Source organism: Homo sapiens, chromosome 9, assembly GCF_000001405.40.
Source record: "Homo sapiens chromosome 9, GRCh38.p14 Primary Assembly".
Lineage (NCBI taxonomy): Eukaryota > Metazoa > Chordata > Mammalia > Primates > Hominidae > Homo > Homo sapiens.
The window spans coordinates 119355393-119372356 of NC_000009.12; the positions used below are offsets into that span (position 1 = coordinate 119355393).

A 16964-nucleotide genomic window follows, 5' to 3' on the forward strand; every position below is an offset into this window, starting at 1 on the left:
ATAACTAGAAGGAAGGTACTGTTGTTGTCAGCTCTGTTTAAAAATGATACACCCGGCCGGGCACGGTGGCTCACGCCTGTAATCCCAGCACTTTGGGAGGCCAAGGTGGGCGAATCACAAGGTCAGGAGATTGAGACCATCCTGGCTAACATGGTAAAACCCCATCTCTAATAAAAACACAAAAAAATTAGCCGGGCGTGGTGGTGGGTGCCTGTAGTCCCAGCTACTCGGGAAGCTGAGGCAGGAGAATGGTGTGAACCTGGGAGGCGGAGCTTGCAGTGAGCTGAGATCGCACCACTGCACTCCAGCCTGGGCGACAGAGCAAGACTCCGTCTCAAAAAAAAAAAAAAAAAGATACACCCTATCTTCATCCCACCTTCTAATGTACAAATGTGCTTTCCTAATATCATTCTTAAGGACCACAGAGGATTCCATTCTATGCTCTGTTTTGTTTTCCTTTTTTCTCCAAACACTCTGATAACATTTCTTCTTCACAGACTTGTACACATGTAATTAGCTGACTTCTTAGAAGGGGACACTTTTTTTTTCCTCAAAAGCATTTGCACCTTCTTTTCTTTTTAAAAATTTGGTATAGAGATAAAGATAAGAGACAGAAATAGAGATAGAAATTATAAAGATCGAGATAGAGATCTAACCCCTGCTTTCACAATAATGTATCTCTTCTTTCTCCCCCTACTTCCTATTGGTTATTCCACTTCAGTCACACTGGTTTCTGTATACACTGACAGTCCCATCTCAAAAATGTTATGCTTGCTGTCTCCACCTGGAATGCTCTTCCCCCAGATATCCACCTGACTCTATCCCTGACTTCCTACAGATCTCTGCTCCAATGTCACCATCCCAGTGAGGGCTTTTCCTACCCACCTATATAAAATACCAAGTCCTCTCTCACCAGGCCATCTGGTCCACATGCATTATCTCCTTTTTCTCTATCACACTTTGCTCTCCAATACACTATATGTTTACTTCTTTATTTATAAATTATCTTCTCAATTAAATGTCAGCTCTATGGTGGTAAGAACTTGGTCAGTTTGATTCCCTGCTGTATTCATAGCTCATAAAAAAGCATCTGGCAAAGGATGAGTGCTCAATAAACAATGTTTGTTTAGCTGGGCACAGTGGTTCACGCCTGTAATCCTAGCACTTTGGGAGGCCGAGATGGGTGGATCACCTGAGGTCAGGAGTTCAAGACCCAGCCTGGGCAGCATGGTGAAAACCTCATCTCTACTAAAAATACAAAAATTGGCTGGGCATGGTGGTGCGTGCCTGTAATCCCAGCTACTCAGGAGGCTGAGGCAATAGAATCGCTTGAACCTGGGAGGCGGAGGTTGCAGTAAACCGAGATCGCACCATTGCACTCCAGCCTGGGCAACAGAGTGAGGCTCCGTCTCAAAAAAAAAAAAAACAAAAGTTTGTTTATGACAGAATGAAAGTCATATTTCATAAAAGGGTATACTCAATATAGATTTCCACCAATGCTGTGTGACAGTGTTCTTTTCCTTGCATTGTTGCCAAAACTGGATGCTGCCATTAAATTAAAAAGCCATTTTGATGATAGCATCGCATTGCTATTTTCATTTATTTGATTACTGGAGAACAAAATATCCTGTATTTTTTACATTTATTGGTCACATGTGTTCCTCATTCCATTTTTAGATAGAAGTCCCACCCCAAGATTATCTTCTGATAGTAGGTGATCTTAATACCATATCTGGGCTCATGTTCTTTTACTAGAGAAGAAGAAATCTGCTTTGGACATTTTCTGGTATATCAGCTGCTCTTCTACCTGTTCTCAACCATGTTCAATATTCCTTTCTTTATACATGCACGTGTGCACGTGCATGTGTGTGTGTGTGTATAAGTGAAGCAGAGAGAAAAACAGAGACAGACAGAGAGATTGCAACATCTGGCTGTCACAATTTGGGCTAACTCAACCCTGCTATTTGCTGGCTTGAAAAAGTGTTACTGTTATGACTGGTGGCTTTGGTGGTTCTACTCCCAGGAAGAATAAGATTCTGGCTCTTGGCTGTGGCCCAGAGTTAGAAAGCAGCTCATTCTATAACTACTGATCCTGGTGTCAGCAGCATTTGAACTAAGGGTGCAGATAAGCATGCTAAGCTAAGATTTCCTGCCGAGGCACTGTGAAGTTAAATTACTATTTTAAGAGGCTATGAAGTTGGCAGCCAGAAAGCACTAGAAGAGTGGAAGATATTCATGATGCTGACAGATAAAGAGAGAAAGCAAAACGCAGATTGTTAAGGAGATTTAAGAAAGCTCCTTCCAGTGGCACCATTTATAACATCTCCTGGAATATGAAAGATGGATGCCTTTCTCATTTAGGCATGTACAGGATCAGGATTGAGGGCAGAGTCTGCATGACAGACTTCATTGCATGAAGATTTGCAATGACTAACCTATCCCAAGACAATAGAGATCAGGCAGCAGTATTCAACCTTGTCTTTGGGACACCACCAAGCTGCTAATCCACAATGCCTTCAGCTGGTGTATAAAGGAATGGCAATTCAAGGACAGAACATACATACATACAGAACATACACTTGCTGATAACATACACTGGGCTTAGAACCTGATGCTCTCACTTATTGTATATCTTGGGGCAAATCCTTTTACCTCTGACCCACAATGTTCTCATCTGGAAAATGGGGAGAATAGTTACAATTTCAGAGTGTTACTGTAAAGGTTAAATGAGATATAACATGTGACAACATGCAAACACCTAATAAAATAAATGAGAATAAGGATGAAGAGGGGAATCATAAGAAGGAGGTTGATAAACACAGTTCACACAAGAGCATCCATCATGCTGTCAATCATCTACTTTCCCATATGCACCTGATGAATACCCTGTCTTATACATTAGAAAACCAAATCAAAAGTGAGATGGGCTGCACAAGGCGAAGGTTCTAAAACCAACTCAGATACGGATTGATCTTAAAAAGAGTTTATATGTATTAAAAAAAAAAAAAAAAAAAGGAGAGTCCAGGCATAGTGGCTCATGCCTGTAATCCCAGCACTTTGGGAGGCTGAGGTGGGCAGATCACCTGAGGTCAGGAGTTCTAGACCAGCCTCAGCAACACAGTGAAACCCCGTATCTACCAAAATATAAAAAATTAGCCGGGCATGGCGGCGTGTGCCTGTAGTCCCAGCTACTCAGGAGGCTGAGGCAGGAGAATCACTTGAATCCGGAAGGCGGAGGTTGCAGTGAGCTGGGATCACACCACTGCACTCCAGCGTGGGCGACAGAGCGAGACTCCATCTCCAAGAAAAAAAAAGAGAGAGAGAGAGGTTGGAATTTCAGCTGGATTGTGTTGAAGATAACTTTCTGCCTTTATGGTAGGTGATCCTATGTCTATATCTGGTCTTTACATCTATATCTCATTTCTGGCCTGTTATAGAGAATTTAAAAATCTGCCTCTATCATTTTGCGTTCTCCCACGCCTTATTCTACTTTCTCACTCTCTCCTCTAATCACTGTTATCCCACTGCCACATGGTGGGGAGGTTAGTAGAAATAATTGAGCACATTCATTTGGAAGGCAGTGCCTTGAACCTAATAATACTTTTTTTCTACATGTTATTTCCAGTTTGAGCACATACCTGAGAGTATGAGCAATGGCTAATCTAATATAAGAGGGGGTGGAAATCATAAAAGGCAGTAACAGTTAATGTTTATATAGTGTTGATGATCTGCCAGGCACTGTCTGAGGCACCTGTCATATAAACTAATTAAATACACACATGCCTCTATGAAGTTACTATTATTATTGTTGTTATTTTTGAGATAGAATCTGACTCTGTTACCCACGCTGAATTGCAGTGGCATGATCACAGCTCACTGCAACTTTGAACACCTTGGCCCACATAATCCTCCTGCCTCAGCACCCCCGAAGTAGCCAGGACTACAGGCATATGCCACCACATCTGGCTAATTATTTTTTAAATTTTTTGTAGAGACAGGATCTTGCTAAATATTGCCCAGGCTGGTCTCAAACAGCCGGCCTCAAGCGATCTTCCTGCCTCAGCCTCCCAAAGTGCTGGGATTGCAGGTGTGAGCCACCATGCCAAACCTGGAGTTACTATTCTTACAGTACTCATTTTACAGATAAGAAAACTGGCACAGAAACATCAGGTAATGTGTTCCACATCAAATAGCTAGTAAGTGGCAGAGCAGGTATTCAAACTCCAGCAGACCCAAGCTTTCAACCTCTGTACTTTCAAGTCAGAAAGAAGTAGATTCAAATCCACAACAAAACACAATTGACTCAGTATATGGCCTTGGTCAAGTGGCATTACTGCTCTGAGCTCAGTTTCAACCTCTCTAGAATGGGGCACAATACTACCTATGCATGAGCTTGTTGAGAATATTCAGTAGGATATCTACATCAAATATCCATTGCAACACAAAGAATATGTCACATGCTTGGCACATCCACTTTTCCACTCCAAGAACGGCTTTAGGGCAGTGACATTTCAGCCATCTCTAAATGTTATGGATGAAGATCCTTCCAGAGCCCCTTCAAATTCCAGTCCATGCTCTGCCTACATGTATCATTCCCACTGTCAGGGAAGAGAGAGCGGTAAGCAAAAACTGGAGCTGACTTGGTAATATTTTCAGGAATCACTTGCAAGGCTTCACTGGACTTTCAATGTTGTTGTCCTATTGATATACATTCAGAATAAAATTCTTTATAAGCTCTCTCAGTCCTCCCTAGCCTCGGCTAACTCTGGCAATAGCATTTGATGTGGACCACTTCACCTAAAAGAACTGTGTCTCCAAAATGTGTCCCAGCAGCAAAACTGTATTACCAACCCTTGCCAGGTAATCTATTTTTCAATCTTTCCTAAGCATACCAAAGTGCTGATTTTCTTTTCTAATGGCCCCTATGCTTGTGCAGATGTTTTTGTCGTCCCAGCCCAGGCTTCCTGTAGGTCCTTCCTTTATCATGCGCCTGTAAACTCAGAACCCATCAAATTCCATAAGAAATCTGGCTTATCCACTACCATGTAAAGGGAAACGTACGTACTTACGGAAGGCAGTTGTCTCTTTCACAGCTCTCTGTTTGCTCTTCTAGGTTTATCTTGGAGCTCCTGGGGACTCTAGGAATTCCACAGCCTACTAGAGTTTCATCTACTTTTGCAGATTGCTAAATCTTAGAATGGAGACTTGAGAATTCACCACTTTTTCCCCAAAAAGCAATCATATCCTGGATGTCTGCCTTTCCTCCAACTGAATCAGCTTGTAATCTGTAACGTGGCTAAACGCGGCTGTTCTCCATTATCCCCAAGCTCCATTATTTCTCACAGAGGTTCCCAATGGCTCATTTGTAGGACCTTTGCAAGGCTAGATAAATTATATCTTAGAAACCTCCCAGGGCCAGTACTGGGTTAACCCTTACAAAGGGTTCTAGCTGTTCACATAGGCCATTTGCTAAGAGCCCTGCTGCTCTGACCTTTGCAGTTTACACAAAAATGGTTGCATGTTGCTTTTGTTAATTACCTTATCAATCTACCTGCCACCCTTGAGGGAATACAGTCTCCTAGCTATCCCAAGATGGCCCCAACTTCCCGGTATACAACTCCGCACCCTGTGAGAAAACCTCTGCAAACTGAGAACAAAATTTGTTCAGAATGATATATTTTGTGTCCTCACCAGGCTCTCCATTCCTGTGTGGGGATAGCAGGAAGTCCGGGTAATTTATGACTCTTCACTTTCTCTCTCATACCCAGTCTCATTCAGTCTATTCTCCTTAAGGCCACTTGCAATCTCCAAAAGATAGTTCCCTCAGGAGACAAAGATCCCCTTCACCCTCATATGAAAAAAAAAATTAATTTCACTTTTTCTCAGCCTCATTATCTCCTTAATTGTCTTTTTTGCCCCCTCAGTAGCAAGGACTGTCTATGGATCTCTAGGCAGTCTTTCTGGGCTGCTGTGTTCCATGAGGACAGTGGGTTTCATGTTAACCCTTAATCACTTTGATATCAGGAGTTGCCACCATGGCATAGAATCACTATCTCACCACCACTCAGCCACACTGTCTCGAAACACAGTCTGTGCTGTAAGGTATGACCTCTTTTAAATTTCCTTATTTTTTAGAAGACATCTAAATCTTATGAGGAAGCACAGCTACTGTGTGTGTCTCTCTCTGCTTTTACAAGAACTTTGTCATGCAACATATTCTTCTTCTTCTTTTTTTTGTTTTTTTTTCAGACAGAGCCTCACTCTGTCACCCAGGCTGGAGTGCAGTGGCATGATCTTGGCTCACGGCAACTTCTACTTCCCAGGCTCAAGTGATCCTCCTACCTCAGCCTCCCAGGTAGCTGGAACTACAGGTGTGCACCATTACGCCCAGCTACAGTTTTTGCATTTTTTTTTTTTTTTTTTTTTTTGGAGACAGAGTCTCGCTCTGTCGCCCAGGCTGGAGTGCAGTGGTGCGATCTCAGCTCACTGCAACCTCTGCCTCCCGGGTTCAAGCGATTCTCCTGTCTCAGCCTCCTGAGTAGCTGGGATTACAAGCACACGCCACCATGCCCAGCTATTTTTGTATTTTTAGTAGAGACACGGATTCACCATGTTGGTCAGGCTGGTCTCGAACTCCTGACCTCATGATCCACCACCCCCCCACCCCCAACCCCTCCGCCCTCCCAAAGTGCTGGGATTACAGGCGTGAGCCACCATGCCTGACTGCAACATTTTCATAAAGCCAGGCAATATACCTTCAGTGAAGCAAGCCACAGCTGGGCCCTTCTCAATTTACAGAAGGCAAGCCTGGAGAGATAAAGATAGGTTCTTGAGGGGGTCTAGATATATAGTGATAGAAGCCAGGACTGGAATCAGGTACCCTGAGTCCCTGTGCTCTTATTGTATAATATTCCGAATTAATGGAGACAGAAAAAGATACTGCCTGTGATCTCTGAGACCTTATAGTTCACTGTCGACATCCTCCTCACCACTATCACTACTGAAGTGTCTTCCTTTAGACTTCCCCTTACCCAAAATTCTCACAGAACTTCTGAAGTGACAATTATCAATCTATCATGAATGATAATTATTTATAGATTTGCAGATCGGTACTATTAGATTGCCAGCACCTAGCAAGATTCATCACCATACCCCCCAAGTCACTTTGTCCAAAGCCTTTCCACGACAAGATATGCAATAAATATTTGCTGATCCAAACTGAAAACTTCCAGCTTTCATTCTTTTTCACAACACTTCATTTAAATTACTTTATCCCCACATATTCATTCTCTCCTTCCTTTTCTATCCATTTCCCCTACTCTTGTTTCTCCTCCTCACTTTACACTGTTGTATCTCCAGGGTATGGCATTCAGAGTAGGAGTAGAAATTAAAATGAGAAAACTTGTAGAAATTACTGATTAAAAATGGACATAATAAAAACCCATCAAAAGTACTTGACAATGACCTTCTGTCAATTCTCAAACTCTCTTTAGTCCTCAAACTACCTGCCTTCCAACCAGAGATGTCAAGGAAAAGATGTCAAAACTTCTCACTCTCCTGTACAGGCCATTGTGATCTGCCCCTGCCTACCTTCCTAATTCCCTTTTATGTCATGTTCCCAATTTGAAAGCTTCAGCCACACTGGCAGGTAGTCCATCTCTTAGACTTCCTAAGCTTGTCCCAGTGAAATGACTCCGTGGCTTGTTTGGTTTTGTTTTGTTTTTTGAAACAGGGTCTTACTCTGCTGCTTGCTCAGCTGTAGTATAGTAGTGCAATCACAGATCACTGCAGCCTCAACCTCTCAGGTTCAAGTGATTCTCCAACCTCGGCCTACGGAGCAGCTGGGACTACAGGTGCCCAGCTGTTTTTTTAAAGATGATTATTATTGTTGTAGAAATGGGGTCTTGTTATGTTTCCCAGGCTGGTCTCAAACACCTGGGCTCAAGCGATCCTCCCACCTCAGCCTCCTAAAGTGCTTTGATTAGAGGCATGAGCCACCAAGCCTGGCCAACTCCATTTTATTCTTCTCTCTGCCTCTAATGCTCTTTCCCCACAAAATTACATGGCTGATTCCTTCTCATTTAAGCCTCAGTTCCAACATCACTTTCTCAGAGGAGGCTTCTCCTGGCTACTCAATCGAAAATTATACCATCCACATTCCTTTCTACCACATTACCACGACTAGTGGTGTGACATTTAATATTATATAAAATTATCTTGCTTATCTATTTGTTTACTCATTGATTATTCATCTCGCTCCTCTAGAGTGTGAACTTAATGAAAACAAACAAGGCCATGGCCATGTACATGCTACATTTCTAAAGCCCAGACCTGTGCTATTCAATAGAGTAGCCATGAGCCACATATAGCTATGTAAATTAAAATAAAAATTAATATAAGTTAAATAAAATTAAATATTCAGTTCATCAGCAACACTGGCCACATTTCAAGTGTTCAGCAATCATACATGGTTAGTGGCTACCATATTGGACAGCACAAAAAACATGTCCATCATCACAGACAGTTCTATTTGACAGCTCTCGTCTACAGCAATGTTTGGCAAACAGTAGGCACCCAATAAATATTTGTTGAATAAATCCTCACTCAATTTCAGGTCATCCCTCCCTTTTTTTTTTTTTTTTTTTTGGTGGCATCGAAGCCCTAAAAGTGAGGTAAACTAGACAATTTCCCTAGGACAGTATTCAGGGTGCCAAGAGGCCTCCAAGCAGATGCTACAGAAGACAGGGCTGTGAAGACAATCCCCTCTATTCAGAAAGAAAACTGTTGTGAAATAATTATGTTTTCATAATATTCGAAGAACTGAAAACTGGAAGAGAATTGCACTTGTGTGATTTCAGAGACATATGGATAGAAGGATGATTTAGGGGCAAAGTAAGAAAATATTCCAACAAAGCTCTTCAAATATGACATAGGCTGGTTTGTGCGGTAATGAACTTGCTATCACTAAAAGTACTAAAACTGAGACTGAATGGTCATGTATTATTGGCATTACAAAAAGGACTCGTCATTCCTGAAAACAGAAAAGTTTGGTCATTGAGAAACCTTCAGAGGTTTTCTTTGATCCAGTGACTCATGACACCTTCATACCATCAATTTCAAAGAGCTCATAATAACTCCCAGCTATTCCTAGCACCTATTGAACAACCCGATGTTGCCAACCATTCATAATAGTTACCATTAACTCAGTGGTCCAGTGAAAAGAGCAGAGATGACGTAAGAAGGAAGACAGTTTCAAATTCTAGCTGTGATGGTTGTGTGACCTTGATCAAGGAGTCTAACCAACCTGGGCTTCACTTTCCTCTTCTGTAAAAGGGGCTGTATCTGTCCCACTGGGTGGAAAGAACGACTACATGAGAGAACAAAACTAAAGACCCTGGAACACAGGAAGTCAATATTCACTTCCAGGTAGGGTCTAATTTTCATCTGTCTATATTATCATTGGAATCCCCATATTCTTGGTATAGGCAAAAATGCCGTAACGGCATTGCTTTAAATGAACATGAAGCAATTGTTAGCTAGAAAGTGTGAGAGACAGAGAGAGAGATGACAGTTGCTATTGAGATGCAACAGGAAATGCAAGGGCAAACATTTATAAAGCAACTACTCTGTGTCAGTCCCTGGAATACAAAGATGCTCCTGAGACCATACTGAAGAGGGTAAGATAGACCTATACCCCCAGCGCTATAAAGCAGGGCAAACAGAGACACAAACTAAAATAGAGTTTCAGATAAAATGGTACAGAAAAATCAGGTGATAAAGAGATTAATTCCAAAATAAGATCTTGAGAAGACTTCTTGGAAGGGTCATTTGAGCTAGATGTTGAAATATGGGTGGAATTTTGTTAAAAGTCGTGGCTGAATGTGGGAGATGGTGGAAAGAATAATAAAGATAATCTTTGCAGAAGGGAGCACAACTGGAAAAATTATTTGAAGAATGACATTTAAGGACCTGTCTTCTTCACATGACCTCCATCTTGTCTTTAACATGGTTACCAGTAGTTCAGCAGCCAATTTGTTAAGCTTTGTATTTCAGCAAGGGAAAAGCAGGAAAAGACGGGTAGGGTATGTCTAACCTTAATGGCCCATTCAAGTGATAATGTACTGGTGATTTCCTCTAAGGAATTGGGAGGGGAAAAGAGACAGGTTGCAAATCAAAAAATGTCTCCTTGCACAACTGAAGGGGCCTTTGGGCAAAGACCTTTTCAGAAAAATAGAGGACTTTATGATCCATAACATAAACTCTTGCAAGCACTAAGAAAGAGATGTTGAATTCGAACCTATCAGGGGAGGGTGTTTTTACAATTCTTGCCTGTACCAGCGGCAAAGATACTCATTGCAGCCTGAGCTGGGTCGTCTAAACTCAACGGGGGCCCAAGAGCTGATTTGGCATCTCTGAGCTGTTTCTCCTTGGTTGAAATGGAGTCACAGCTCCCCCTTCTGGGAGCTAAAGTGCCATCTAGCCCCGGAAAATCCTGCATGGAAAAGGCTCTATTGCAGATGGGCCTAAAACCCCCATGTTTTTCAGTATCTGCCTGCACCCCGAAACAGGCATCTAGAAGTCTAAGAGCACGCTTTTGAGTGAACTCGATTCTGACTTCTCCAGGGTCTCTCTTTCACAGGGCTTTACATTTCTCCTTCCCTGGAGTTTATGGGTCCTACTCTTCACATGGGAGATGCTTTATATGGGAGAACACAATTTGGTGTGGAGGTTCTCTTTTTTGGAAATGTAGCAAGCAGGAAAGGTTTCTGGATCTTTGTGTGCACATGTGTGTATAAGCACACCTATGCATGTGTGCTTGCATATGCTTCTGTGCCTGTAATATGTATTAATGTCTAGGGGTGAGATTCTAATTAATATAAAGAAATTAATTTGCCTGAAGTATTTGCACTGGTAGATGGGTGTACATTTTGCTCTCTGGAAACCAGTGCATTCCTTAATAAAAATCTTAGATACAGACCAGACACTTTGCTGGGTTCTGCCTACCAGTCACACTCAGTACTGGGTCCTTGCTTGTCGGTAATTCCCTAAAGACATTGGAGAAGGAATCTATGTTCTCTCTCTGTCTCTCTCTCAGTCCTCCCCCCACCACCGTGTGTGTGTGTGTGTGTGTGTGTGTGTGTGTGTGTGTGTGTGTGTGTGTGTGTGTGTCTTTCGGGAATAGTGATTGAGGCATTGGATCTTTTCTCTTCAGGGCCATGTTTCCAGATAGAAAAACCCTGAAATGCATCTCTGAAAATGTGAAGTTTGATGAGGGAAGACAAGCGATTGTCTTGGTAGGGGTCATGGTGGCAGGTTGGCAAGATAGGGGTGGGAGCAATATACAGTCCTAGAGTGTATATTGCTGGGAGGAGTGGAAAGGGTATTGATCTAGCTGATTGATAAGCCTAGATTCTAGTCCTGGGCATGCCACTAACCCACTACTGAATGTTGGGGAATTCTCATTCCCTCTTTAGGCCACAGAGTCCTGCCTTTCTGCTCTTTAATATTCCTTCCAGTTTCGATCGTCTGTGAATTAGGAAAGAGAGAAAATGAGGCAGTTCCCAAAAATGGGTCTCCTCCTTGGCCCTAGTACCCCCTACCCAAGATAATCCAGGGAGCTCTGCCCTGACATGAGTTTCCTGAAGGAGATTCTCTGTGGCTATGTGAAGGCTTCAGCCTGAGGTATCAGCCTCTGGACAGAGAATGGTATGTCTGCAAGTGCCTGCAGGTAGAACCCACCCACTAGGGCAGGTTCCTACAAATACATGTTTGCTTTTATCTCTCCCCAGAATATGAACACATGTGTGTGTGTGTGTGTGTGTGTGATTGATATATATATATATATATATATCTTCCTAGAATATATGTGTACATTTTTTAGGCCAAATATATTTCTACTTTTTTCCCCTAAGAGGGCTTTTCAGCGGCCCCTCCGTGCTGAGCTAGACAAGAGGCTGTGTCCCAGCGTCACAGCCCTTGTCTTCTCCTAGCCTCCCTGCCTGAGAGCAGAACGGCTGCCGCTTACCTTGAGAAAGTAACAGCTGCCGAGTCTGGAAGCCATGCTAACAGCAGTAAAACTCAGCATTTTTGCTGAGTAGGGCAAGCCTTTAAGAGGCAGCTGGGAATCAAATCAATGGCTGGCCCCAGAGCCCAAGCCCAACAGTACCAAGCCAGGGTGGCCAAGGGACCTACCTAAAGAGCCTCCCAGGAGATGGAGGAAAGAAGAAAGAGGGCCTTGACCCAAACTACCTTCCTGGCTGAGATTCCTCCACCGCCCCCCTGCCCTTGGCAGTATTTTGGAGCCAAGTGAGAGACGCGAGGTGCAAACCGACAGCAGTTTAAGTCAATTACTGCCACATTCTGTCATGGGTTCCACACTCACAGCCCCTTTTCAAATTGTAGATCTCCCTCAGTACTGAAACACTCTCTCTCTCTGTCTCCCTCTCTCTCGCTCTTGCTCTCTCTCTCTCCCTCTCCACCTCTCTGCCTTCTCTCAATATCCCCCTAACTCCAGGGGAGCCATGGAGAGGCATATTTAGGGAGAGACTCTCTGGGGGCTTCCCCGCCTGAAATGGGGAAAGAAAGACGAATCTGTCTTAGGAAAGTGCCCCATCCATCTCCTTCCATATCATCCACAGCCGCCCCAGATGAAATTTCCTCTGAGACCCTTTGCAACTGTGATGGATGAGCAAGTCCCCGAGGACGCTTTCTCCTTTCCCCTGAGGGGGATCCATGCAAACTTGCCAGATCCTCCCCAAAACCAACAGAAGCCGGAGGGGCTCTGTTGATTGCAAACGGGGATGCAGGGTAAATCCCTATCCCAGACTTTCCAAGCCCCAGATAAGGAGCCCACCGCTGACTTCCCCCTTTCTCTGTCACCCACTATCCAGTGTCTCCAAATTCCCATCAGAATCTTGGAGTCTGCCCAGTGTAGAATTTAAAGTGACAGCGTCTCATTTGCCTCGGGGGTTGGCCATGTCTCTTTCATATTAAGCTGTGGGTCCCAGTGTAGCAGGATTCCACCGTTTGGAGGAATTTTCCTTCAAGCGTACCAACATTGGGCTAAATAAGGTGCCATCTACAGCCCCATAATCCTCCCCAAACCCCAAGCCCAGAGCCCCAAGAGGAAGTCCACAGCGGGTTTCCCGGTGACTACGTGATCCTATAGTAAGGGTCCCATTCCGTGTAAGCTGGAGAGACCTAATTAAAAAGACACACGAGGGCACACATACAAACACATACGTACAAACATGCACACACACATCGCGCCGTAAGTAGGTTATAGGACCTCTCTCTCTTCACCCCTCCCTTACACACACGGACACACACACACACCACGAACACACGCATCAAACGCAAACGACGCCGCACACGCAAACACACTAGCACCACATCAAGTTCCCACCATGGTGCACACGTCGGGAGCGCGCGGGGACACACACGCCACTCACTCAAACCCGCAATTAGCCCTTTGAGCCCCAGGCACAGGAACCCCCTCCCTAGAACTGGAGAAGACTTGGAGGCGGCGGGGCGGCCAGGTGAAGAGCGGACAAGGGTGCCGGTAGGGGGAGGGGCAGAGGAGCGCGGGGACGCCCCGAATGCGGCCCGGGGCCGGGTCCAAGGGCAGCGGGGCTGCGGGGCGCTGCACCCGGCGCCGCCTTACCTGGAGTCAATGTCCGTCTTTGGCGGAGAGCTGCGGGAGGACGCTTTTTATTCGGCTCGGTGGGAACTTGGGAGAGCCCTGCGTGCAGCTCGCATTCCGGGCACGGCGCGGGGACTGCAGGCGTGGGGGTACCTGGCTCCTAGCAGCCTGGCTCATACTCAGCCGTAAAGTCCCCTTCGCTGGTCCCGAGGACAGGCATGAATCCCGGCTCCGGAAGGCGGTCACTACTCCCTCTGCCTCCCGGCTCTCTCGCTCTCGCTCTCGCTGTTGCTCGCTCGCTCTCTCCCTCTCTCGCGGGTTCGCTCGCCTGCGCTCTCCTCCTCCCCGCGCGCCAGATCAGTTTGCAGCCGTGGGGTCCGGGAGCGAGGCGGCTGGCGAATGGAGAGGGAAGTCCAAGTGCGCCGCGGTCTCCGGGCGGGGAGCGGCGGAGGCCGGGCTACGCCGGGGGAGGGACTTAGCCGGCGACGGCCGAAAATGAATGGGGGAGCGGCGGCCGGGGGGCGGGGAGGGAGGAGCTGAACGCCGGGGTTGCTTCCGAGGAGTGTTTTGTACATCTTTAGGCGGAGGAGGAGGAGAAGCGAGAGGAGGAGAGACGGGAGGCCGCCTCGAGGGAAGGGCGGCCCGGGTGGGCTGGGGCTGAGCCGTAGGGAGTTTCGTGGGTCTGGGGCGTGTAGGGTGTTGTGTCTATGCGCACGAGCATCCAAAGGGACCGCGCATACGCGCAAACCCGGAATCCTGGTGCCCTTAAGCGTGACTGTACTGTGTGTGTCGCGAGTACCTGAGTGTTTCTGGGGCGGCAGGTGTTTCCACGGCCGCGTGGATCCATCGAGTGTGGGTTTTGTCTCGGGAGTTGCCCGTGTGGGTCCGTTTGTGTCTGCGCGTCTCTCTGTGAGTGTTTGACACTGTTTGTTTCTCTCGGTGTGTAGGCGAGAGCCCACGTAACCTCCCAGAATGAAGCAAGAGCTTCTCTACGTAGGCAGGATGTAGGAGGGAGAAGCTGAGGGGACACGAAGTTCTCTGGAGACCACCAGAGGCGGGGAAGGGGCGAGGGTACAGGGACTAAGACATGAAAATAAAAAGCAAAATACTCTGCAATCAGCCTGAATGCAGGCTGGGGCTGCTAACATAGGGCCTCTTCCTGAAGCAGAAAATAAAGCCCTCGTATGATAATTCCCACACAGCGCACATTTGGTATGTTTGTTTACTTTGCTTCCCTTCTGATTTAAACCAAATCAGCAATGCAGATCCCTAGTCCCCTGAAGATTAGGCAAGAATAGAAAGCATTAAGGCTACCAGATGGAGGGGCAGGAAGTCATAGGAAAAGGTGTTGGAATATGTAAAAGAGCCAGATTCAGTAGAAGTGCAGGCTCCAGAGAGGTTGGAGTCCTGTAGCTGTCTGGTCTTGGTGAAATCACTTACCCCTTAAGCCTCAATTCCTTGTCTGTTTAATAGAATAATAATATATCTACCCATCTAATAGGGTTGATGTGGAATTGTAATGAGTTAATATATGCAAAGGCACTTAGACTGCTCATGAGTTAATGTATGCAAAGGCACTTAGACTGCTCCCTGACACCTAGTGAGTGCTCAGTGCATGTTGTCTGCTTTTATGATTGCCATTGTATGTTTTTTGTTTGTTTTTTAATTCAAAGGATGATAAGAGAGAGATGTGACCACCAGGGAGGCCTAGAACAATCTAGGAGCCAGTGAACTAATTGGAGGAAGAGGAGTCTTGAAACAAAATGGAAGAGAAATGTTTGAGTGATGAACTGGGAACTCGGGAAAAATTATTTAATCGACAAAGAGAAAGGGAGAAAGAGAGGAGAAGACATCGAGCTAGCCAGAATGATCCTGGGTCTCAGAAGGTCAGGACTGAGGGGAGAGGAAAGGGAGAGGAGGAGCAGCCAGTGCAGAGCTTCTCAGCCTTCACTGGAATCCCAATGAGGAGGAGTCAGCACCACGGACAGCTCTCCAGCCACAAACCCAGTCAGCGATTTCTATTTTCGCCTGGTGGAAATTTCTCCCTTTTTTCTTGGGCAACTTTCTCTTTCCCTTGGCTTCTGGTCCAGGTTCAGGTCTTGAACACAGGTTCCCCAGGTCAGTTCTGACTTTGATTCTGACCACGAAGAAATACGCCCACCACACACACTCCTTCTCCCACCCACCGCGGTATGAAACCCCAGGTCACTATCTCTTGCCTCTCCTCCTTTCTTTCTTTTCTCTCTCTCTCTTTCTGTCTGTGCCCCATTCCTTCCTTTATTCGTCCCTATCTTTCTCTTTGTTTCCCCATCATCCCCCAGCTGAGATCTACTTCCATGACTGTTAGTAGGCAACAGCTGCCCTGCTGATAATGCAGTTCTGAAATCAATCTGAGACAACGTAGTCAGGCAACTTCAGGTGAAGACCAAAGTTCTGACTGATTCTTCTTAACCCTTTCCTTGTAATCAATCTCCCAAGATGGGTTGTGGTCTACATACCTTAGAAAGTGGGGACTTAATGCTTTGGAATACTGTCCAGTCTTTCTCTTCCTCACCCCACCCAGTCAATATTTCCCTAAAGAAAAAAAGAGCTCTTCTAGTTCCAACCAATACTACACAGAGAGAAAGAGGAGAGAGAATTTTGAACTTTTACCGTGCACCAAGCATTTTATTTGCAATGTTCTGAATATTATTGCTTACAGTTCTGAAAATACTTTGCAGTATGAATAGATAATACTATCCCATCTTTATGGCATAGGAAATTGAGTCTTGAAAAACTTGAGTATATGCCAAACTAGCTATATGCCAAAATATAGCTAGTAGGTGATGGAGTCAGGAATTCAACACCCAAGTCCAAGTCCAAAATCTTTATCCTCTGGGAATAATGGGGAAGCCCTGGGGTGATTGGAAGTTCTTGGAATTTTATGGGGTCACTGCACCCAACCCTAAATATCAACTTAGATGTCTGGATCCATTGCATTATCTGTGTCCCATCCCAATGGATGATTTAGTGTATCTTGTCCCTGGAGAAGGAGGTGAAGACTTTGCATGGACAGATTTAAGGCTCACTCGAGCCTTATGGTTTCTGAGTTTTGAATAAAATGCCAACCTTTCCAGGTCTTAGTTCATTTGCATTTGGCTCAGTTTAGCTTTCCTGTTTCTATGAAGAAAGGCTAAGAGGGCCATTTTAAAATGTCTCCGAAGACACCTTGGTCATCAGAAAAGTTCTCAGTGCAAAGCATTTCTAATGACTTATGGAGAATGCAATCAAAACCATATGGATAACATTTTTGCAGAAATACACACGGGTGGGAAAAGGTTTA

The 16964-nt window shown here is 45.1% G+C and overlaps 1 protein-coding gene across 1 annotated transcript in view, besides 4 other annotated features; it reads right to left on the reverse strand.

Moving 5' to 3' along the window:
• Window positions 1–14043, reverse strand: part of BRINP1 (BMP/retinoic acid inducible neural specific 1) — a 202807-nt gene extending 188764 nt beyond the window's left edge. Inside the window, exon 1 of the mRNA NM_014618.3 lies at window positions 13664–14043. The gene's annotated coding sequence lies outside the window, so the exon portion shown is untranslated. The remainder of the gene's footprint in view (window positions 1–13663) is intronic.
• Window positions 9859–10540: an enhancer, noted in NCBI's record as "OCT4-NANOG hESC enhancer chr9:122127529-122128210 (GRCh37/hg19 assembly coordinates)". NCBI's record gives its function as "activates a minimal SCP1, AML or CMV promoter by ChIP-STARR-seq in primed H9 embryonic stem cells {active_cell/tissue: H9 hESC(primed)}" and the evidence as "EXISTENCE:reporter gene assay evidence [ECO:0000049][PMID:30033119]".
• Window positions 13442–13963: an enhancer, noted in NCBI's record as "H3K4me1 hESC enhancer chr9:122131112-122131633 (GRCh37/hg19 assembly coordinates)". NCBI's record gives its function as "activates a minimal SCP1, AML or CMV promoter by ChIP-STARR-seq in primed H9 embryonic stem cells {active_cell/tissue: H9 hESC(primed)}" and the evidence as "EXISTENCE:reporter gene assay evidence [ECO:0000049][PMID:30033119]".
• Window positions 13964–14486: an enhancer, noted in NCBI's record as "H3K4me1 hESC enhancer chr9:122131634-122132156 (GRCh37/hg19 assembly coordinates)". NCBI's record gives its function as "activates a minimal SCP1, AML or CMV promoter by ChIP-STARR-seq in primed H9 embryonic stem cells {active_cell/tissue: H9 hESC(primed)}" and the evidence as "EXISTENCE:reporter gene assay evidence [ECO:0000049][PMID:30033119]".
• Window positions 14487–15007: an enhancer, noted in NCBI's record as "H3K4me1 hESC enhancer chr9:122132157-122132677 (GRCh37/hg19 assembly coordinates)". NCBI's record gives its function as "activates a minimal SCP1, AML or CMV promoter by ChIP-STARR-seq in primed H9 embryonic stem cells {active_cell/tissue: H9 hESC(primed)}" and the evidence as "EXISTENCE:reporter gene assay evidence [ECO:0000049][PMID:30033119]".